This window comes from Homo sapiens, chromosome 5, assembly GCF_000001405.40.
Source record: "Homo sapiens chromosome 5, GRCh38.p14 Primary Assembly".
Taxonomy (NCBI): Eukaryota; Metazoa; Chordata; class Mammalia; order Primates; family Hominidae; genus Homo; species Homo sapiens.
The window spans coordinates 27,767,689-27,791,693 of record NC_000005.10 but is presented as its reverse complement, the minus strand read 5'-3'; the positions used below and the strand labels follow the sequence as shown (position 1 = coordinate 27,791,693).

General features: G+C 33.8%; 1 long non-coding RNA gene across 3 annotated transcripts; it reads right to left on the bottom strand.

The window, feature by feature from the left end:
- Window positions 1–19,363, bottom strand: LOC105374696 (uncharacterized). Of its 3 annotated transcripts, none has more exons than XR_001742504.1 (3): window positions 19,290–19,363; window positions 18,860–18,968; window positions 1–33 (listed from the first exon to the last, which is right to left on the bottom strand). It is a non-coding gene; the product is annotated as an uncharacterized LOC105374696 (long non-coding RNA). The 3 variants fall into 3 exon arrangements; XR_925875.1 differs by lacking the exon at window positions 1–33 and adding an exon at window positions 16,219–16,296; XR_925876.2 differs by lacking the exon at window positions 1–33 and adding an exon at window positions 18,042–18,117.
- Between the last annotated feature and the right edge of the window lie 4,642 nt (window positions 19,364–24,005).

Here is a 24,005-nt window from a genome sequence, read left to right as displayed (position 1 = left end):
CTTCCTCCTCCTTCTTCTGTCTCTCTCATGTATCTATATGTATATAGATAAATAATATAAATGTATTAAATATATTTAAATAATATAAATGTATTAATGTACATTTAAATAATATAAACATTTAAATAATATAAATGTTCTCATTAATATATGGTGTATTAATATATAATATATACTATATATGTGACATATAAATTAATATAAATTACATTATATAAGTATATATAAGTAATGTGTACTATGTAAGTATATATAGTATATATGTATTTATATATAATATAAATTAATATAAATTATATTATATAAATATATAAATTATATTATATAAGTCTGTATACTATATATGACATATAAATTAATATATTATATATTATATGTGATATATAAATTAATATATACATTATATATACTTAAAACATTTGTATTATTAAAATGTTTATATTATTTAAAAGTACATTTAATAAATTTATATTATTTAAATATATTTATTATTATATACTTAGTATATATAGAATATATATATAGAATATATAATATATATAGTATATATATGCACTATATGTAGTATATATAATAGCATATATAGTATATTTATACTATATGTGTATAGTATACTATATATACTATATAGTATACTATATAGTATATATAGTATATATACTATATATGTATAGTATATACATATATACTATATATACATATATACATATACATATATACATATATACATATATGCATATACATATATACATATACATATATACATGTATACTATATATAGTATATATACATGTATACTATATATAGTATATATACTATATATAGTATAATACATGTATACTATATATACATATATACTATATATATTATATATACTATATACTATATATAGTATACTGTATACATATATATACATATACTATATACATACACATATATATAATATGTATACATACAATATATATACATATATAGTATATATACTATATATACATATATAGTATATATACTATATATAGTATACTGTATAGTATATATACCATATATATAGTATACTGTATAGTATATATACCATATATATAGTATACTGTATAGTATATATACCATATATATAGTATACTATATATAGTATATATATAGAATATATACTAAGTATATATATGTATATATAATATATACACTTAGAGCCATTTTAGTTTGATTCCCCTCTATATAAGCTGAAGTACAAACACACACAAATTGTTTACTTTGCTTTTACAAAGTAATATTTTTGCAAACTTACAGATTTAAATTGAATTTAAATTCATTTTAAAATATTGTATTAAATACATGTATTCATTCGCTAGGTCTGCCATAAAAAAGAACAACAAAATGAGTGGTTTAAGCAACAGAAACTTATTTCTGACAGCTCTAGAGGCTGGAAGTCTAAAGTGTATGTGATGGCAGTGTCAGTTATTTCTGAGAGCTGTGAGGGAGTTTTTTTTCTATGCACCTCTCCTTGCTTCAGGTGGCCTCAGGTGTTCTTTGATTTGTACAGGACATTCTCCCTGTGTCTTCACACCATCTTACCGTTCTACACGTTTGTCTCTATGTCCATTTTTTTTTCTTTTTATAAGGACAGCAGTAATATTGGATTGGGTTTGACGCTAAAACTTCATCTTAACTTGATCATCTGCAGAGACTGTACTTCCGAATTAGATCCCATTCACGGATATTGAAGGTTAGAACTTTCAAATATATCTGAGGGAAAAAAGAAATTCAACCCATAACAACAATCTTTGCCATTAATTAATTGACTTCGATTGCCTCAACTCTGTGTTTTGAGAGCCTGGGAAATGTCCTTCTTGCAGTGCTAAAAAACAGTAATTTGGAAAATAGGCCTAATTTTTTTTTCCAGTGATGCTTTTCCCACAGGTGAAAATACATTTTAAAATGTCCAACTAAATACTGTGGGGCTTACAAATATGATAAGGCATTTTCTGTAACCTAAATTTACGTTGTATTCAGTGGTGTTAAAAGAAAAATTTTAGCCAAATTAAATTTAAAAGAATTTAATTGAGCAAAGAAGGCTTCGCAAGTCAGGTCGTCTCCAAAGCCAGAGTAGGCACAGAGACTCCAGCTCAACCATGTGGCGGAAGAAGAGTTATGGACAGAAAAAGGAAAGTGACGATACAGATAAAGTAAGTGAGGTACAGAAACAGCCGGATTGGTTACACCTCGGTGTTTGCCTTATTTGAACACAACTTGAACAGCTAGCCACCTTTGGCCACAACTCAGTGACTGGCACGACAGTAGTCTGAAGTCTGTTTATGACTCTATTTAGGTTATAGTTCATTATGTACAGAGAAAACTTTGGGCCAAATTTAAAATATGTAAGGAGGCAGCTTTAGGCTAAACTTGATTTAACAGTGAGATGAAGCTTAAATACGTAAGTATAGAAATAACAAGAGCAAGAACAACTCAAGGACTTAATAGAAGGCAGTGCTTGGTTAATAGCTAATTAAATGTTACAGATATTCAATATAAGAGTTAAAATGAAAGCATAATTTATTCTGGGTAGGCTGAATAGTTATTCTGGTAGGATTTAAGCTGGAAATCAAATCGGGGATACATTTTAGAGAGCTAAATAAAAGCAAAAACAATAAGTAAGGTAAATATTAGATATGAGAAAAAAACTTGAGCTCAGAAAATAATCAGGTAATTTCTCAAAAACACATTTCCATATAAATAAGGTAAACTGAGAAGTGACTGGAAAGGTAGGCCTAGGAAAAAGTGAACTTTTTAATTAATTAATTAATTAATTATTTTGAGAGAGAGTCTTACTCTCTAACCCAGGCTGGAGTACAGTGGCACAAACATGGATGACCACAGTCTCAATCTCCCGAGCTTAAGCAACCTTTCAACCTCAGCCTTCCATGTAGTTGCAACACAGACACGTGCCACCATGCCTGGCTAATTTTTTTATTGTTCATAGAGATGAGGCCTCACTTTGTTTCCCAGGCTGGTCTTGAACTCCTGAGTTCAAGCTTTCCTCCCTCCTCAGCCTCCCAAAATGGGAAGATGTGAATATAAATGTTAGAGAACAGAGTTTAGGTAGATCTTGATGTAGGAAGTGTTTGGATTCGTTAAGTGCTAAGTTGAAATTCATCACTTAACATTTATGAATTCTGAGGTCTAAAAAGCCATTTTTAATTCTAAATTTTTTTTTGGTTGTTCAGTTGCTAAAAATAAATACATAGGTCTGGATAGCTGACAAGTTTGGCAAGTGTGTTTTTTGTTGGCACATTAAAGATGACTCAAGGAATAACCAAATACTGTAGTTCACAATGATGATCTTTCTATTTGTAATCAGCTGAGCTCTCTCCTGCCCTGGCTATGACCACTATTTTCTCCACTAGTGTCAGTCTCACCCCAGTTCTTTGCACAATTAATTCCTTTTCATTTTTCAATGTTCACCTTAAATATTACCTTCCCAGAGAGTCATGTATTGATCGCCTTCCTCTCTTACACTTGAGTACAATCTCACTTGTTCTACTTTACAGCACCAAGCGAAATTAGTAATTGTTTTTCTACTTACTTGTTCTTTGCTGTACCTTTTAACAAACTATAATAATGTCAATAAGACTATATTGTTTATTGTTTTGTGTATATGTGTGTATATATATGTATAGTTTTGGCATGCCATCAGGTTATGACATTTTAAATAAAAACAGAAAACAAACAATAAAACATTTTCTTATGAGAAAAATACAGCCTCTCTTACTGCTATGGAATGAATGTGGGTGTCTCCCCAAAATCTGTGTGTTAAAATTCTAACTCCTAAAATGATGGTAATACGAGATGCATCCTATGATAGGTGATTAGGTCCCGAGGGCAGAGCCCTCAAGAACGGGATTAGTGACCTTATAGAAAAGACTCTGGAAAACTTCCTCATCTCTTCTGCCATGTGAGGACACAGTTGGAAAATGAGCATCTATAAGCCATAGGAACAAGGCCCTCAGTAGATGCTGAGTTTGCTTGTGCATTGACCTTGGACTTTTCAGCCTACAGAACACTGGGAAATACTTCTTTACATGTATGAGCTACCCAGTGTATGCTATTTTTGTTATAGCAGCCTGAACTGACTAAGATAGAAATTGGTACTGACAAATGGGGGTGCTGTTGTAACAAATACCTAGAAATGTGGAAGCAATTTTAGAACTGGGTGATGTGCAGAGACTGGAGGAGTTTTGAGGTGAATGCTAGAAGCCTGCATTGCCATAATTGAACCATGAAGAGTGGTTCTGATGAGGGACCAGAAAAAAAACAAGGAGGAGCTCTATAAAAAGCCTCAGTCTTCTTTTAGAATATCTAAGTAATTTTGAACAGAATGTTTGCAGGACTGTAGATAAGAAAGGCTCTTCTCATGAGATCTCAGATGGAAACAAGCAACAAGCTATTGGACAATGGAGAAAAGGCAATCCTTATTATAAAGTGGTAAAGAACGTGACTGAATTGTGTTCATATTCTAGTATTTTGTGAAAGGGAGAATTTCTGAGCAATGTAACTGGATATTTAGCTGAAGCAATTTTTAAGTCAACTGTTTGAAGGAGTGGTCTGGTTCGGCTTGACTACTTGTAATAAAATTCAAGAAGAGATAAATGACTTATAGATAAAATTGGTAAGCAGAGCAAAAAGAGAACTTAAAAGATTTGAAAATTTCTCATCCTATCCATATTGTAAAATCTAAATAAGTATATTTAGGGGAGAACTAAGAGTGTGGCCAAACATTTGTCTGACAAAAAGATTAGTATGAGTGTAAACTGTGAATTAAATCAGCCATGCCAGGAGGAAAACTATCAGCTGGAACTGAAGGGGAAGAAGATGGTAAGGAATAAAAATAGACTGTTGGACTTCTGAGATTTTTCTGAATGGGACCACAGAGCTATTAGACTGAGAACATATACTATTCTTCAAGCAGAGGAAAAAATGACACCAAAGGTGACTCAGAGATTATTAGGGCTGCATTTTTGGTTTCAAGAGAGGGTACAATGCCTTATTTTCAAAGGCCAGTTGGCTACTGCCCAAAGCTGTGGGGTCACAGCCACCTAGAGCTGTAAGACAGGGCCACCTGGCAGAGTCCTGAAGGTATGACCTCTGCCGGGTAGAGCTGTGGGGGCGGGACCTCCACCCCCAGTTCTGGATGATGGTACTCCCACCCCAGTGGTTCCAAAAGGCCAGACTTCCCCTATCCCATTGGGTCTGCAAGGTGAGTCCCCCGCCCCAGTGAACTCTGCTTTTTCTTTTTCATAGAAATCCCAATAAAGGCTCTAATCCAAGCCTCCTCCTTGCCACCATTTTTTCTCCTGCCCAGCGTGGTGTCTTTTTCTTGTGGCCCTGAGTGTCATGCCATGCCTCCAGTCTCTAAGACCTATTAGTATAATAAATTTTGTTTTCCTGAGCCTGTTTTTTGTCATCTCTTAGGGCCCCACCTGACTCTTCATCTCATAAAAATATGAAATATTTGTGTTCACCATTTTCACTCTAACATTAACAATACGATGTAACGCATAAATATCTGATACAAAAATAATGGTTGAATAAATATATCTAAGTTTATAATTTTACCTATCATTATTATTATTCTACACATAACAGAATTACATTAATTTTTTAGCAGCAGAAGGTGAGAGTGAATCTCTCACAAATAAACAATTCTCTGCCTCATACCATGTAAATACACTTATTATCCTAACACTAACCCCCAAAACACAAACATCCATAGAAAAACACAAGCACAGCCATACAAGCAGTTACAGTCGGACTCACAATCATTTAGGGAGTTAACCTTAGTCATGAAGCAGCCCCTGCCATATATTTCATATGCTATCAGAGGAACTGCATAGGCCCTCAAGACACACAGTTAAATACACACACACACACACACACCCTCACAATCACTGTATTAGGATTCTTCAAACACGGAACCAAAAAGGGTGTGTATGTATGTATTACTTTATCTAAATGTAATACATAATGTATATCTTATTTATATATATATTTCAAAATAAATTTTTCAAAATAAATTATACAAACACAAGTAAATATGTGTGTGTGTTTGTGTGTGTATAAGTTATTTTGAAAAATTGGCCGCGTAATTGTGGAGGTTTGATGGGTCCAACATCTATTTGTGGAGGCTGGGAGGGCTGGCAAGCTGGAGACGCAGGAAAGAGTTGTGGCTTAAGTACAAAAGCCATCTTCTGGAGAATTCAAGAAGAGCCAATGTTGCAGACATCTGGATAATTCCCTCTTGCTAGAGGGAGGTCAGACTTTTGCTCCCTTTAGGCCTTCAACAGATTGAATACGCTTGACTCATATCATGGAGAAAAATCTGCTTTATTTAAAGTCCACCAGCCTAATGTAAATCTCACCAAAAAATATTATCACAGAAACATTCAGAATAATGCTTGAGCAAACATGTCAACCTGGCTGCTGTGGTCTGAATGTGTCCCCCAAAGTTCTGGTGTTGAAAACGTTATCCTCAATTTTACATTGTTGAAAAGTGGGACCTTTAAGAGGGGATTAGGTCATGAATAGATTAATGTCACTATCCCAGGAGTGGGTTAGTTATTGCAACAGTTGGTTCCTGCTGAAAGAATAAATATAGGCTTCTTCCACTCCCTCTTTCATGCACTCTTCCCATTCTGTTTACTGCTGTGGGAAGATGCAGAAAGAAGGCTCTTGCCAGATGCTGGTACCTTGATATGTGACTTCCCAGTCTCCAAAACTGTGAGAAATAAATTTATTTTTTTAAAAAATTACCTAGTCTGTGGAATTCTTTTATAGCAACATAAATGGACTAAGACACTGGCCGAGCCAAGTTGGCATATAAAAATTAACCATCACAAGAACAATCACAAAATCATAGTCAGCTGGCAGAATACTAGAATACACAGAGGAAAACAATGTTGGAGAGAGATTTTTCTAATTATTATTTTTTTAAGATTGGAAAGAATAACACCTTTTCTTCTCCCAATTATCTGCAAGATATTTCATGATCTAAAGTAGCAAATTTTGAGAAATTCTTAGAAAGATACTTAAGAAGTCAAGGGGACAGAGATCATACATCCTACTTAGAGAGCAAGAGATAATTACTAAAGTGGTTTGTGAAACCACATGATCTGTCTCTCTCACTGAAAACTACACGTTGTGAGACAGGGACTCTGTACTATCTACTGCAGTTTTCTCAGAATATAATACCATGTCATGTATATACAAGAGTTAAAAATGAAACAAACAAAAAAAACCCACAGAACCACAAATGAATGATATAAGAATGTATTGAAAGATAACAAGAAGATGTACTCACTAAGGTAGTACAATGTAATATGTAATACAAAGGGTTAAAATTAAAATCAGTCTAATGATGATGTATGTGCATAGATCAATCAATACCTCCATGTAGAAATTCAAGACATAGACCAATACTACATAAATATTAGACAAATAATGCTGATCAATAAAAAAAGACTTCAGTCAAAATGAGTCTAAAAATATTTTTAAATACAATTAATACAATATTAATATAGCAATTATAAAAAATTGTAAGAGTAGCAATTGTAAGCAATTTCAATACATTTGAGCTTTTATATATTCAAGATGTCACGCTGGGCATTTTACAAACTTAGTCCATTCATTTCTTTAAAAAGTATCACTTTTTGTTAAGACAGATTACAAGATTGCAAGTCCCCACTGAAGAATTTTGATTCATAATTTGGTGTAGACTTGAAAATATGCATTTCTAACAAGGGTCACATTTGAGAGCCGCTGATCTACATAAATTTTAATACAACAATTTTTTTTTTTTTTTTGAGATGGAGTCTCACTCTGTCCCCCAGGCTGGTGTGCAGTGGCGCTATCTCAGCTCACTGCAACCTCCGCCTCCCGGGTTCAAGTGACTCTCCTGCCTCAGCTTCCCGAGTAGCTGTGATTACAGCACCTGCCACCATGCCTGGCTAATTTTTGTATTTTTAGTAGAGACAGGGTTTCACCATGCTGGCCAGGCTGGTCTCAAACTCCCAACCTCAGGAGATCCGCCCACCTCGGCCTCCCAAAGTCCTGGGATTATAGGTGTGAGCCACTGTGCCCGGCCAATAAAACAAATTTTAAAACCCACATTGCTTTCTTCCATAAACTATGCTTAGTTTCAAGACATTATTAACAATTCTCAAAATATCCCATTCTATTTTATATTACCTAGGATTTTGGAAAAAGAAATCACTATAATATTTCACATAAAAATCCATATTCATTTATTTTGCCTTTATTAATATTTTAAAATTAACTACACAAATCTATAATTGATCATTAGTTTTATGGTCTTATCAAGGCTTTTGTTTTCCCTATTGATAATGTTTTTTATTATGATACTATATTTTATTTATTATTCTTTGAATTAATTCTTAAATGTGATATTATTCCTTCTGGATAAAACACTGACACCCATACATATTGGGGAACGAAATAATTATTCTTTAAATTTTGTGGAAACACCTGTGTTTCTTCAAGTGTTCAATACTTGTATCTAGTACTAGTTATTTGATTAACTGAAGAGACTACTTTTATTTTTTCAAAAAAGATCAGCCCCAAAACAATTATTTACTAAATGGTACTACCATCTGAATTTCCTTCTGACACTAAAATGTACATGCAATAATTTGAATTCACTATTTATAAATTCAATTTATGTTATTACATATTCTTAAATAAATAACTCTTTGTTAGTAAATATAAACTGCAATATTACCTAGAAAGGGATGATAAATTATAAACTATTTGAATGTAGTAGCTGAATAACTGTTTGCTTCCTTTCCTACTTAAAACTATAAATGTATAAACCTTTCTATAATTATTTAGTGATAATTAGGTGACTATCACTTTTAATTTTTCTATCAGAAAAAAATGGCAATACTATTAAGTATATAAAAGTTAATCTTAGTGGACAATACTTCAAATTTCATACTTATAGTTCAAAGTTAACATATTATCCTGCAATATATTTGCTTCTAAATAAATGAAAAGTAAATATAGCAATAGTGTTTACGATTTAAAATAAATATATGCAATAGCTTAACCATCATCCATATGAAAACTAATAAACATTTTCTCAAGAAAGCATTCAAGACAAAAATATTTATATTTACTTGGCCATTTAGTTGTCAGACATTCAAAAGGGCTTTTTGGACACAGGTGTCTACCTTGTGACTTGATTCAATTGATGTGTTAAGTTCATAAAAGCATCCTGCAAACAACTCTACATCCCTTCTTGACTATTTTTCACTTCACTTAGGCAAATACCACTAAGGAATAACAGCATTAGCTGGAGATACCATTCTCAGATCTTCAAGGTAATTGTGCTTGTATATGTTATTTAAATTCTTAAAATGGCTTTAGAGAGGCTTTCATTTCTACAAGAATTAGTATTATGAAAGGCACACATGTAAGAGAACATTTATGTTAACTTGATATTGTACAAACATTAATAAAAGTAAAAAGAATTAGACTTTATAGATGCTTTGAGAGTGCCTAGCTAAATTGGGATTCCAGTACCAGAGTGGCTAGCAACCCTAGCAACCCTGTCTTAACATGAAATGAAGAGGAACAGGATGTGAGTGTTTACAGGGTGTCTGCCATGAGATACTTCTTTTACCTGGCACATGGCCTTATGCTTAGTGGTCCAATCTGATACCTGGGAAACGGAGTACAGGTCCTTGCACAAGAAACTTGTTTATACTGTCAGAGGCCCTTGTGTGTGGTTCTTGTGTGAGCATGTCCAGTTTTATGCCTGTCTGACCATCACTGTGGTGCTGAGAGCCTGACCTTGTGTTCCCCCTGGTGTTCCAGGGAAATCCTGGGCTGGAGAAGCCCCTAGTTTTCCAAGTGGAAGGCACATATTCCATATACCACCATGACAGGAAACTAGTTCAAAGATTTCTACTTGAACCTGGGCAGGGAAAGAATAATGAGGGCAGTCCTCTGTCCCTGGGTCATCCAAGACAGGAATGAAGAGTCAAGCAAAAAGACAGAGAGAGATTGAGTGAGTGGTAACTAGTGGTATATAAAAGGGAATAGAGTGTGGGTGACTTCAAGTTCAAGGACAAATGCCTAAATTTTCCATTTTAAAAAAGTGGCAAGAAAGCAGGGAGTCAAATATACTAGTCAGAAAAGATGTTTCTAAGTTCTTATCTCTGGCCCATGTTTGACCCGTGTCAGTGGGATGTAGATCTAGAAACGGTGTTAAGGGTAATTGGACTCTGCTTCTGGTATGAAGAAATTAAACTTGTATTCAAAATGGATGCCAAGACAACATAAACCTATGGGAATTCACCACAACAGAGTGCTTACATGACAAAAGTTTCTTGGATTCTGTTTTGCTTTCAGAAAACTCTGACTCTCTGATTTTAGTTAATTTGAATTAAGCTTCCCATTATGACAGCACTTTACTTTGAAGTGGGATTTTTGAATGTCAAGAATGAAAATCACCTCCCAGTTGGTTGACAATTTATTAAGGCAAGAGGTCTCGGGAGATTAGCACACATAATATTGTAAGACATAATGTCATAGGGCTTGTTGTTACAAAACAAACATTTTAATATGGATCAGAATGCATTTTGAGTCTCTCTTTTAAAAAGTCAGAAAAGGCATTAAAAGTGTAACATTAATATGAATGTTTTTATATTCGCTTCTGAAAAACAAAATATCAAGACTATTAAAATTTTTCAAATGTGCATGTGTTAAAGCCTGTCGAAATAAATAAAAATTGGCCATGTTTGTACTATTAAAAATAAGCTAAGTGGAGAAACATCAATCATGTGTGTTACATTGTGTTTCTTTCCCTCTGCAGAATTGTAATTGCCCCTCACCTGTTCTTACTGCTAGTATTATAGTCAGAATTTTTTCATAGTTGATTAGCAGTCATCTCCCATGTCTTCAGAATATGTTGGATATGATGATGATCATAATCCAGCTTGTTTTATGGTACTCAAGTAGCAAATTGAGAACTTAAGATGAAATATAATTTTAATTTGAATATAGGAATGATTGAATTGAATAAGCAAGTATTGTGCTGTTAGATTGTGGCAGATCTTTCATTGTTAGGTTTGATAAGGCAAATTTTTTATATAAAGTTTATTGTCAAAGTATGAATATAAAATGTTACCTGTGCCTTACTAGAGAAAGGTATAAGTTAGTAGAGAAAGCATAAAGGAAAGGAAGAGATACTTCATTAATCCCCAGTGTTTATGTTACCACTGTTCAATCTTAAACAATATATTGTATTTCCATTTCCATATAGAGAGAGTTTACTTTTAAAGGCATATAATTATTAATATATTTTATAAGTTTGAAGAAAATGGAAAGTAAACTATTGTTATTTGAATTATAAAATAGCAATGGTTTAACTTAAAAGTTTATTTCTGAATATATTAATCAACAACAATAATTTATTTTTAACTTAATCATAACGAAAGTGGAGGCAGCATTTGTATGCAGATAGTTAGGTTTTCCCCAGAGATACTCTTTTGTGCTCCCTCGCGTTCTCTCTCTCTCTCTGGCTTTCACTCTGTGTTTTCCAACCCATGGATAATACACACAATTCAACAAGATGCAAAATTTATGGGAAAGAATAAACTTGTATTAATTTAGCAATTATTCTGTGTCAAACTCTGTACTAGATGTGTACCTGTCTATCACCCACCTATCTGAACATTAGGAGGTAAATTGCTTGAGATTATGTCACTCGTAAGTGCTAAAGCTTAAAAGAATATTCTAGACTATTTGATTAGAAAGCCCATACCCTTTTCTTCCATGATAAACACTTCCAATCCAAGTGGCTATGGTATAAGTCTCAACATTTATCAAAATAATAAAGAAATTTTCAAGTACTATGGTTTTATTTGTCAAAGAGGAATACCACTGATGTTTAGATAATTTCTTTATGTGGATACTAAAATATTTAACTTGAAAATCTATGTCTTAAGGATAATATACATATGAGCTTCTGATGATCACAGAATAATTTGACCTTTTATTAATCATGTACCATTTTAAATGATAAATTCAGAAGTTGTTAAAATATTTAGAAAGGTTAATTTTATAATATTGGTGATTAGCTCTACTGAAATCAACTGTGATATCAAACAGAAGCTCTATACCCTGCACTTGTGTATAATTAAACGGCATCTATTCATTAATTACTCACTTATCATTTTGTACCTGTATTCATCTGGATATAGTATCAAACTAGAGCATTGTAGACCAGCATATAACCAATAGTAATATGTATTTATTCAATCAGCAAATGCTGCAGAAGAAAACACTATATTCTAGTTATAAACATTATTAGCATATATCAAAAACTACTATAAACTAGTTTTCAGTATGGAATATATGGAAAATAAATTCATAAATATAATTTAAATAAAATTAACATAACAGAAAAATGTCATCCTCTGTAACAATCAAAGTAGAATTTAATTATATATATAGTCACTTCGAAAAATAAAGGTAAGAGTATATACCATAAAAAATTGTTAAGATTCAATGGTATAAAAAATTATGAAAATCTACTCTAAATTTTAAGTCACTGTATACATTAAAACTGCAGTTTCTATATATTTGACAGCATTCTATGCAGATATCAAAAATTTTTACTATACTGGACTCTAACTACAGGTAATTATAAATTTTGTGTGTAACTGGTCCTCTGGGTACTTAGCTATTTAGTATTATTCTGGGTCTCTCTGTGAGGGTGTTTTGGATGAGATAAACTTGTGCATTGGTACACTGAGTACAGTAGTTTCATCTTATCCTTGGAAGGGAGATAGCTTCCAAAATCTTCAGTGTATGCCTGAAACCACAAATAGTTCTGAATCTCATGGCTGTCAGTTGGGACATATTTCTGTTCATTTCTTCCACCCACAAATGTAAAGCCTTTCCCATCTTAACCAAGCACTTATCACACACTGTGGCTGTAATTTTTGCAGTTTGAGGTGGGACAGCAAAACTATCCTGAATTTCTTTTGTTCTTCACAATTCCGTGGATAGAAAATTTGCTTTTACTGAAAATTTTAGCAACCTCAACATACAATATTTTTCCTTGTTAAGTTGAGGACTTTCACTTTTTCCCTTAAAGGAAGCACTTTAAAATTTATTTTTGGCATATTTGAATTATCAGCATCACCACTATTCTACTTTGGAGCCATTGTGAAGTACAATAAGAGGTCCTCGAACACCAGCACTGCTGCTGCATTGCTATACTGCAAAAGCCAAGCTAAGAACCAAGCAGCTACTAAGTGACTAATGGGGTAGGCGGTGTATACAGCATGGATCTGTTGGCAAAGGGGTGATTAGCGTCCTACCAGGGAAGGTGTGGGATGCTGTGAGATTGCATCATGCTGCTCCAAATGGCATGTAATTTAAAACTTATGAATTATTTCTGAAATTTCCTGTTTGACATATTCGAATCATGCTTGACCATGGGTTAATGGAACTGCAGAACTGCAGATAAGGGAGGATGACCATGAAGCAGCTAGCTATCCCTAATGTGAGTGGGCTTCATCCAATCAGCTGAGGAGCTAAATAGAACAAAAAGGCCGAACCTCCTCCAAGTAAGGGAGAATTTTTCCTACCTTCATACTGAGACTGACATATCAGCTCCTCCTTGGTCTTCATCCTGCTAGTTGTTAAACTGGAATTGCACCATCAGCTCTCCTGGTTCTCAAGTTTTTGGACTCAAACAGGAACTACACTATTGGTTCTTCTGTGTGTGCCTCCAACATTTCAACTCACCCCAGAAATACTCAGATTGTCAGCCTTCATAATCACAGGAGATCTTTTCTTATAATAAGTCTTCCTTTTCTCTTTTCTTTTCTTTCTTTCTTTCTTTCTTTCTTTCTTTCTTTCTTTCTTTCTTTCTTTCTTTCACTCTCTCTTTCCTTCCTTCCTTCCTTCTTCTCATTCTTTCTCTCTGTCTCTCTGTCTCTCTCTCTCTCTCTCTCTCACACACACACACACACACACACACACACACACGCACACTCCATTGGTTCTGTTTCTCTGGAGAACCCTGACTAATACACTGTAAATGTCACTCTTACAAAAGATGATAACTGCTCTTAGTATTTTTTTATTTTTCTAGGTCCTCATTCATTGCCTAGTAAATGAATAATTGTTGAATGAGAAATTCTCAGATTAAGAGTTTTGGTATAACATATACCAATGGTACTCTATTGGTACAACATATCTTCACTTAACTGATTATTGACAGCCAGTGGCAGCAACTCATCTTTTGTTTTGATTCTAATTTTAGATTTCATTTTTCTCATTACAGTAAGACATTAACATTATAATTATGTAAGTTAAAAGTAAATTCCAAAATAACTTTTTTTCTATAAAACTGCATAGTATTTTGTATTCTTAGCTATTTCAAAAGTACAGAATAAATCTCATAGCTGGTCTAAGGTCTTATCAGCGTAATTCATGGAGACTTCCAAGAAACTGACTCCTATTCTATTTTCACAGTCTTAAGTTTGAAAATAGACTTAAATTCAGCTCTTAGCCTAGGTAGCCTTAGTGCAATGGGTGGAATTTTTTTTTTTTTTTTTTTTTTTTTTTTTTTTTTTTTTTTTAGAGACAGAATCTCGCTGTGTCGTGCAGTGGCACGATCTTGGCTTACTGTAATTTCCACTTTCTGGGTTTAAGTGATTCTCCTACCTCAGCCTCCTGAATAGCTGGGACTACAGGAACCACCACGCCCAGCTAATTTTTGTATTTTTAGTAGAGACAGGGTTTCACCCTGTTAGCCAGGATGGTCTCAATCTCTGGACCTTGTGATCCCCCCGCCTTGGCCTCCCAAAGTGCTGGGGTTACAGGCGTGAGCCATCGCACCCGGCCGGATATTTTTAATTCACAAATGTGGTGCATACTTAATCGTAAGTACCAGATTGTTTGTTCATTGAAAAATGTTGACACTAAGGAGATACACTGACAAGAATAAGAGATCTCTAATGTATAATCAGTGTCTGCAGTATAGCGAGGACTTAGGACAGATGCTGTGCTTCTAGAAGATCTGACATGACACTTCCTCAGACATAATCATTCCAACTATTTGGATTTAGGAGGCTGTAACTTAAACTTTTCTCTGTAACAAAACATGGAGCTGCTTTATCTACACTTTAACTGTGATAATTTTCTTCAATATCCCACAGGACAAATAAAACTTACTTGATTAGCCCTGATTTAATTTTTGAAGGACTTTTCATTGTAGCAACTTATAGGACATTATTGAAAACTATAATATAATTATTAGCATATATGCTTAAAACTTCCAAACTATTTTTCACTATTAGAAGCATTCAGTATATTGAAATGGTAAAAACTATTTGTAATATAAATGTAGATATTACTTACTTTTAGAGAAATTACATAAGAAATATTAAACATTTTGGTTGACTTCACAAAAGTGAAAACTTATATGTTAATTAGACTGAGTACATGGGATGCATAAAATTTTATTAATGATTTTTTCTCTAAGGTGAGAGAAAAACTGATTTTGTTTAAATGCTGATGGGATCCAGCAAACAGAAATATTTTGAAGACGTTGGTAACAGAAGGGAAAATTGATAGAAAAATGTCTCTAGAGAGCACAGAAATGGATGCAATACAAAGAATATATGAAGTCTTATTTCTCACCCTGAGAAAGCTATATCTTCCACTGCAATTGTTGGCAAAAGTAAAGAGTGGTGAGCCAGATTTCTGGTAGTCAATTAAGCTTCAGCAATTTCAACTTCTACACTCTCCCTGGTATCATACGGACTGGAAACCTGAGAATGGTTTTTCTCAGATTTCTAACTAACATAATGCCAGGTTAGATTCCACCATCAAGAGGTACGTGCATAACATACACAGACTGGAAGCTATAATTGTCTTCCAGAAGGATAGGAGTCCCAAGAGCAGAAAGTAGACACAAATTTCTCCCTAATTCTGGAAATTTTATTTAACAAATGTACTTTAGTGCTGTTAGTGGCCGAGGCTATTGGTGGCAGCTTCTTCACTTTCTGAAAAACAGTGGCATTATTCTCTGTCTTTCATTCTACCAGCTCTTCTATAGGCTTGCTAATACCTAACTTAAATATTATCCCTTCCAGTTTGAAATATTTAGAGCACTTTGTACTTTCTTGACTCAAACTTGACTGATGAAGGAATGTGGTTTCAAATATATTTACAGTTATAATGGCTGAAGTTTGAAGCAGTTTCAATCTGAAATGTAGGAAGCAAATTTAGTCATGAAAAGGAAGGGTTGGCTATTTTAAAGAAACAATATTTCTCTGCAGAGAATAAGAGAAAGAATTAACTTGGCAAATATGGTATAGCTTGGCAGCCATATAAACTAGGTAAATTTGATAATGAAGATAGAGTACCAAAACTGTTTTTTTTTTTTTTCCTATCCCAGCACTTTGGAAAGCTGAGGTGGGCAGATCACCTGAGGTCAGGAGTTCAAGACCAGCCTGGCCAACATGGCAAAACCCCATCTCTACTAAAAAAATACAAAAAAAAAAAAAAAAAAAAAAAAAACATTAGCCGGGTGTCATGGCAGGTACCTGTAATCCCAGCTACTCAGGAGGCTGAGACAGGAGAATTGCTTGCACCCCGGAGGCAGAGGTTGCAGTGAGCCAAGACTGAGCCATTGCACTCCAGCCTGGGCAACAAAAGCCAAACTCCATCCAAAAAAAAACAAAAAACAAAAACAAAAACAAACAACAACAACAACAAAAAGTAGCAATTAATGTCCCTGAAATTTCAAAAGTAGATTAAGGAAAAGGAAGCATTAAGCAGACCAACAAACCAAAGAAGTTCAGGATTTTAGTCCAAATGATTCTGATAGCCAAAGTAGGCTGCTTTAAGGGAGAAGTACAAATGTTGTACAAATAACCAAATAAGTGTGAGTGAAGCATTTAGGCTTATTTGATTTTATTTAGGTGCTTTTAGATTTTTTTATACTTTTAATGGCTGAAGGTAAGTTGATGAAGTAGAAAAGTGTGAACCTAGATTAATTATTTAGTATGACTATGGTACGTGTGGAGGGGAAACAGATTTTGAGATGTCAACTCTGGGTAATGAAGCACAGTGACTGGAAAATCTGGAATCACAGTATACATAGAGATGTGTGATTCATATTTTTCTTCAGGTAATTTATAGAAAAGAGAATTTTGTAGAGTAGCTTGGGGAGCTAATCCCATGGACAACAATGTTTGTAAAAGAGATGTGTGTTTAAGTCCAAAACAACTGACTCAGGAACACAATTCTGACACACAACCCACTTGTTTCTGAAATATAAATGTGCTCAGATATTTCTCAGTCCTTCACTTCTTCTTTAATCTGTGAACCTGAAAGTTTTATTATCTTATTCATATAACTTACTTCTGGGTATGGTCCAAGAAATAGGTAAGGCTTTGTTACTATAGGTAAAGATTTTCATTTCTGTTTTAATACTTCACCTTTTTTCCTTTTCTTATTTCTTTAAAATTAAAGGCTAACTATATGCCAGAGTATTGTATATTTCTTTATTCAATGTCAATATGGTTCAAGTTTTTTATCTGGTGTCTTAGTTTATTAACTATAGTTTGATGAAGTGAAATTAAATGAATAGTAGTGATTTAGATATGGTGAATTGCTTAATAATCTAGACAAGTCAGATCATAATGATCATATAAAGTGTTCAGGGCCAATTAATGACCAAAACCTTATTATAAGATTGCATGTATTAGAATATAAATATAAATACATGCTTTTTCTTTTAAATAAAATATGACATGTTGTTGAAAATTATCAGAATCACATCAGTCACAACTCATTCAAAAAATATCTAAAACGTACAAGAAATCATTACTATTTCCTCTACTACACTTTATTACATTTAGTTTTTCATCATAAATAAGAGTTCACTTTCTAAAGCCCCTCCCTCTGGAAAATCTCTCAACTAATTTCTGTTCTCTGAAGCTTCTCTCTTCTATCTTCTGGCCAGAAAGCTTGGGCATTACTTAGCTCATTCTGTTGCACTTTCTGCAAATGTGCCCATATCTGGGATAAAGCAGCACATGGAAAGATAAAGAAAAATAAAAATGAATATTCACCCCACAGCCTTTGGGCCACAGCTCCTCAACTCTGAAATAAAAATATTTTCTTTCCTTAGAGTTTGATTTCTCTTGGGGAGACGGAATGTTGTTGGTGTCCCCGATGTCACTGCCAAAGAATTTCTTTAGGCATAGTACAAGAAACAACAAAGAAAATATTAACCAAAAAAGTTGGAGGGATCCTCCACTTTCTCTCAGCATCTGGAGTTCCATTACTTAACCATGTGGCCAGATGGCTTCTTTATTAGTTTAAAGCATGCTATAAAAAATTACCTAAGCTTAGTGGTTTAAAACAACAGAAATGTGTTCTCTCACAGTTCTGTAGTTCCAGAGTTTGAGAGGAGTTTTACGTGCTAAAATTGAGGTGTGGGCAGTGCTGGTCCTCCTGGAGAGTGCAGGGCAAAATTTATTCATTGCCTCTTCCACCTTCTGATAGCACTAGCATTCCTTGGCCTATGGCTTTATCAATCCAATCTCTGCTTCACAAATCACATTGCCTTATTTTCTTTTACAGTCGAATCTTTCTCTATTTCCCTCTTCTAAAGACACTTGTGTAATTTACATTTAGGGCCCATCCAGTTAATTCAGGTTAATCCCTCCATCTCAAGATCCTTAATTTAATAACATCTGCAAATTTCCTTTGTCCATATAAAAAAAAAAAAACATTCACAGGTTTCAGAGAATACGACCTGTGTATCTTTGGGGCCATTTTTCAGTCTTCCACAGCTTCTGCTGGAACTCTTGTTATCAGCAGGCCTGTGCTCACTTTTTTGTTCAGGTTGTGGGATTCAGTTCAGGCTATGGGGATGCAGGAGAGAGAAAAAGGTAAGCACAGCTAGTTCAATGGAAATTCAAACCCTGGCCTTCTTCCCCAATCTGCCTCCTACTATTCAATTTTAAGATAGTTGTTCCTAGCATTCGGTCTAGGTTTAATAACTACATGTAGTGGGAGAGACAGAATGGTGTGTGCTTATGTCATCTGATCAAGAGCTATAACCTCCTAACATGGCTTTTTAACTTTCATATTTAAATCAATGTAATGTAAAAATTAAGTACTTAAACACATATTTAATGATTAGAATTAAAAAAAGCATTCCCCTGCTCTACCTTATCTCTTACCTGATTTCTGTGCCCCATAAGCTGCATTTACCATGTTTTTTGTGTGTTTGTTTGTTTTGTTTGTTTGTTGTTTGTTTATTTTGAGATGGAGTCTTGCTCTGTCGCCCAGGCTAGAATGCAGTGATCTCACTAGAATGGCGTGATCTCACTGCAACCTCCACCTCCTGGGTTCCAGCAATTCTCCTGCTTCAGCCTCCCAAGTAGCTGGGATTACAGGTGCCCATCACCACGCCTGGCTAACTTTTTTGTATTTTTAGTAGAGTCGGGGTTTCACCATGTTGGCCAGACTGATCTTGAACTCCTGACCTCATGTGATCCACCTGCCTTGGCCTCCCAAATTGCTGGGATTACAGGCGTGAGCCACTGCGCCTGGCCCATTTTCCACATTTTTATTGATATTTTTGCTTATGATTAAGGTATCATAAAAATATTATGTAATTGTTAAAATCTCTTATAAACATCAATAGCCTGTATGCTCTTTAGTCTTCTGTAAATATACCTGTGTGTGCATGTTGGTGTGTATGTGTGTGTGAGGGTCTTTTTTTTTTTTTTTTTTAAGTTACCCTATTGGCAGGTTTTGCATTTTTTTGTGGGAGGGTCTTTATAGGCATGGAATATGGTCTTATGTGGTAGCATTCAGTTCCCATATCAACAGCTACCGACTTAAGAGGCTTCTCATTGTTACTCAAGGCTGAGAGAAAGAAGAAGAGAGAAAGAAAAGACAGGAAAGAGACAAAAAGGAGAGAGAGAAAGAGAAGGATATATTGGTATGGAGGTGTCAAAATAAACCATACATGAAATGCTCAAAGCCACATTTACTGGATTTTTGCTTAATGGAGGAAGTGAGACCTGACCCTTAGATAATTTTAAAGGACTTGGAGCCTCAAAGGCCAAGCCTAATGGCTTTTTCTCCTCTTAGGACATTTTACCGGAGAGAAGATAGAATTGTTTTAAAATATGGCATCAAGAAGGAATAATCATGGAATTAAACCAAATTATATTAATAGGGCTAGGGTTACATTAAATGTTGGTGGAAAGTCACATGATAATAGGGAGTTAGAAGAAATGACTTTATTGCAAAGGATCAGAATTCAAACTTGTGGGAAAATGTTAAGAAATGGAAACATTAATGTGGAAAGCCTTTGTAAGGGTTTTAAGATTTTGTGTTGTTTTACTTTGAGATATTAAAAAATAAAAACAAAACTATTTAACATTTAATTTAAATATTTTAATATTGTTCTTTGTGTATTTTCTCTTTCTTACACCACTGCCTTCAGAAAAATTAACATATATACATATGCACACATATATACACACACGCACATATATATACACACACATATACATTTCCTTATTGTAAATATTACAGAAAATAGACAGAGCTTTACAGATTAGACCACAATTATCCCTTTGTCTGCTTCTTTGTAAATGAAACAATTTTATCCTAAGGGGATAATACTGATTATGGGCAGCAACCATTAACTATATGCATCCGTATGAATGTGGAGAAAGCAGGGAAATGCAACTAGAGTACAAACATATACTGTAGATGGCTGATCCTTAGGAGGTCTATTGGTGCGTGCATGTGCATATGCTCATGAGTGTGCACACAGTCATTAGCATTTGGAAAAGGAAGCCACCTGATCCTTGTTTTCAAAATGGCACCACTACTTTTTTTATAAAATAAGCCTCGGCTGTTTCTTTTCTTAGAAATATCTTCTTCATGTTCTCATTTCCTAATTTTATAACAACTTAATCATTTAATGTACATTTTTCTCTAATTGTGGTAGATAGCACTTAACTAATTTCTCTGAAGAAATTAAAATACAAGGAGAGGATTGCATCATGAAATTTACATGTGCCACTATCATATTTTTGCTCTTTTAAGATCTGTATATTTTTCTGTTTCAGAAATAACTTACCAAACTCTATGAACATTAGATCATTTTCTGCTGTATGTGTCAAATCAGTGAACATTTCATTTTAATAATTATTGTCTTTCTTTCCTAGAAGAGTGAAGCAAAGGATATTCAGTCTCCTGTTTATTATCATCTTTTCCCAGTAGAATATAGTCTGGTAATTGGAGAAATGTTCAGCCACCCCAAACTCATTTCACATGTGCTTCCCCTCATCACTGATTAATGATTCCAACTGTCTCTTTTCCTGTAATGTGTGAAATGAGGTCTTCCCACTGTGACATGGTTTGTTAAAAGGGAGATTTATGCTACCGTCATGTGGTGTGATGCACTCCACGTATTATGTAAAGCAATCGTTTACAGGGTCAGGCACCATGGGTCAAATCAGGCACAAAGATGTAGGAGAAACGTGCTATGACAATCTGGAGTAAAATGATTTTATTTCAAACTATGTTAATTACTTGATTTTATAAGTCACAGAGGGCTAAGAGTAAGGCAGGGACTACATCAAAATTTGTTTTTCTAGAACACATTACATGAAAATGAAAGGCCACAGTGTGAGAGTACCTGGGGCATCCTATGACTGTGAAGCTGGCTGATTCTTTGAAACCGATGCTTAAAATACATAAGCTTCCGTTATAAATTAGTTTTTAAAATAACCAGCTAAGTTAGATATTAAATTTAAAACAAATCTATATCATTTAATTTCTAAGTAGATTTTAGGGCAAGGAACTAAATAATGTGTTTTCATAAGCCACATACGTTTTTTGTATACAAAGTTGTCTTTACCTTCTGAAAATTAGTTTTAGAACACAGGAAAATAGAGCATATTCAACTGCCTTCCAACAACTTGTGCTATATACTTAAAGTATAAACAGTTTTATTTTTGTTGAAAATTATTTTTTGGACAATGACTTCGGTTCAGACATATGCTAAAAAATTCTGTTTTGATATAATAGGTTGTGTCTTTAGAGTATGGGTAGTTGTTGGGAAGTGGGAAGTGTTGGTTTAAATATACGGGGAAAAACAAATATTAAATTATCATTTTCATAAGATCAGGGATCTAAGAGCCTTGAACTTGTAAATCATTACTACAATTACGAAAAAAAAAACAGAAACACAATAGGTGAAAGTAAATATTACTTTGCAAAGCACAATATAGGCTATTGAAAAATATGTGCAATATAATTGTATTTATATCAATTCATAGGTACACGCAAAAACTTAACATGAGTAGAAGAGCCACTGATTAATGATGAATATATTTACTAGGGTCTGAACTTCATGAGAGCAGAGATTTTATTTTTTTCTCTTTCATTCACTGCTGTAAACATAGTGCCTATTAATGGTAATTTACATATCCATAATATTCAATGAACATTTTCTGAACAAGAATTATTTCCTTCTATTTTAATTAATTTCTTTTTTACTGTGCAATACTAGAAATATACTACTCATCAGTTACATCACTATCCATTTGGAGTGTAAATGACAATGATTAACTTTTGGTAACATGAACTCTCATAATAATGCCAAAATCTTTTTTTTTTGTTGTTGTTAAAACTCAAAATAAGTAAGTTTGGTGCTAATTTTTAAAATAATTTTTTCTCTCCCAGTATTGAGAACATGAGTTTGTCATAAATAAAGCGAACAAGCAAACAAACACCAAATATAAAACGTTAAAACAGGAGATCATCATTCATTCATCCATTCATTCAAGAAACCTACTATATTTACTACCTTAAGAGCTTTGCCAAGCTCTACCTACTTTATGATTAGTACCTTAAGAGCCTGGTGGATAAGAAAGACATACCAACACAAAAATAAGTAGAGGAGTAGAAAATATTCAATGTTAGAGACATTTGAAGAAACTAGAAAGGACTGGCCCACCAAACATGAACAGCAGTACAGAGGAGTAATAAGAGAAAGTGGCAAAGTTTAACCTAAGACTTAAATAATACATAGGAATTTAAAATATTACTTCAGTCATTTCAAAATACATAGACCTAAATCAATTATAGTCTAAAATCAGACTACATATGAAAATATGCATTCCCTATACTTCTAATATTTCAGAATACTTAAGACACTAGTTAACCCTTAAAATTCTTCTAACCAATGAAACTTTTACGCATAGTTCTCAATAATTTTTCCCAAACATAAATCTTACCGTCTTGGATAATTTTAAAGTTTTATTAAAAAAAAAAACCACAGGGAAACAAACAAAACAAAACATGCCTTTTATTGTTTTCAGAGCCCTGAGATAACCCTTCATGTTCACTATACTTTACGCAAACGTTCTGTTGATTGTGAATCAAAGCTACTGTACTTGTGTATTCTTAACTTGAACAATCAAAAATTGTTGTCTACAAACACCTATTGATTCTCTAGCCCATTTCTATAATGATAATTATTATTGTGCTCCACAGTCACCTGTAGTTCTTTAATGCCTTTCCTTTCTCTCTCTTGCCTTCATTTCCTTATCCAGCTTACATTCTGTGGCACAAAATTTCATCCGCCCTTTTGATATTATCAAATGGCTTGATCATATTTATAATATACATACTAAGCAGAATCAGAAAGGGAGGATAGACAAAGTAGTAGAAGGAGAAAAAATATAGATATTTAATGGGATATTATTGCACAGAACAGTTTTATGAACTGACTGTTTTTGCTCTTCCCCCAAATTCTTATGTAGAAGCCTTAACCCTCAGTGTGAATGTATTTGGAAATACAGTAACTCCCCCCACTGACTTATTCATGGTTTTGCATTTCACGGTTTTAATTATCCATGGTCAAG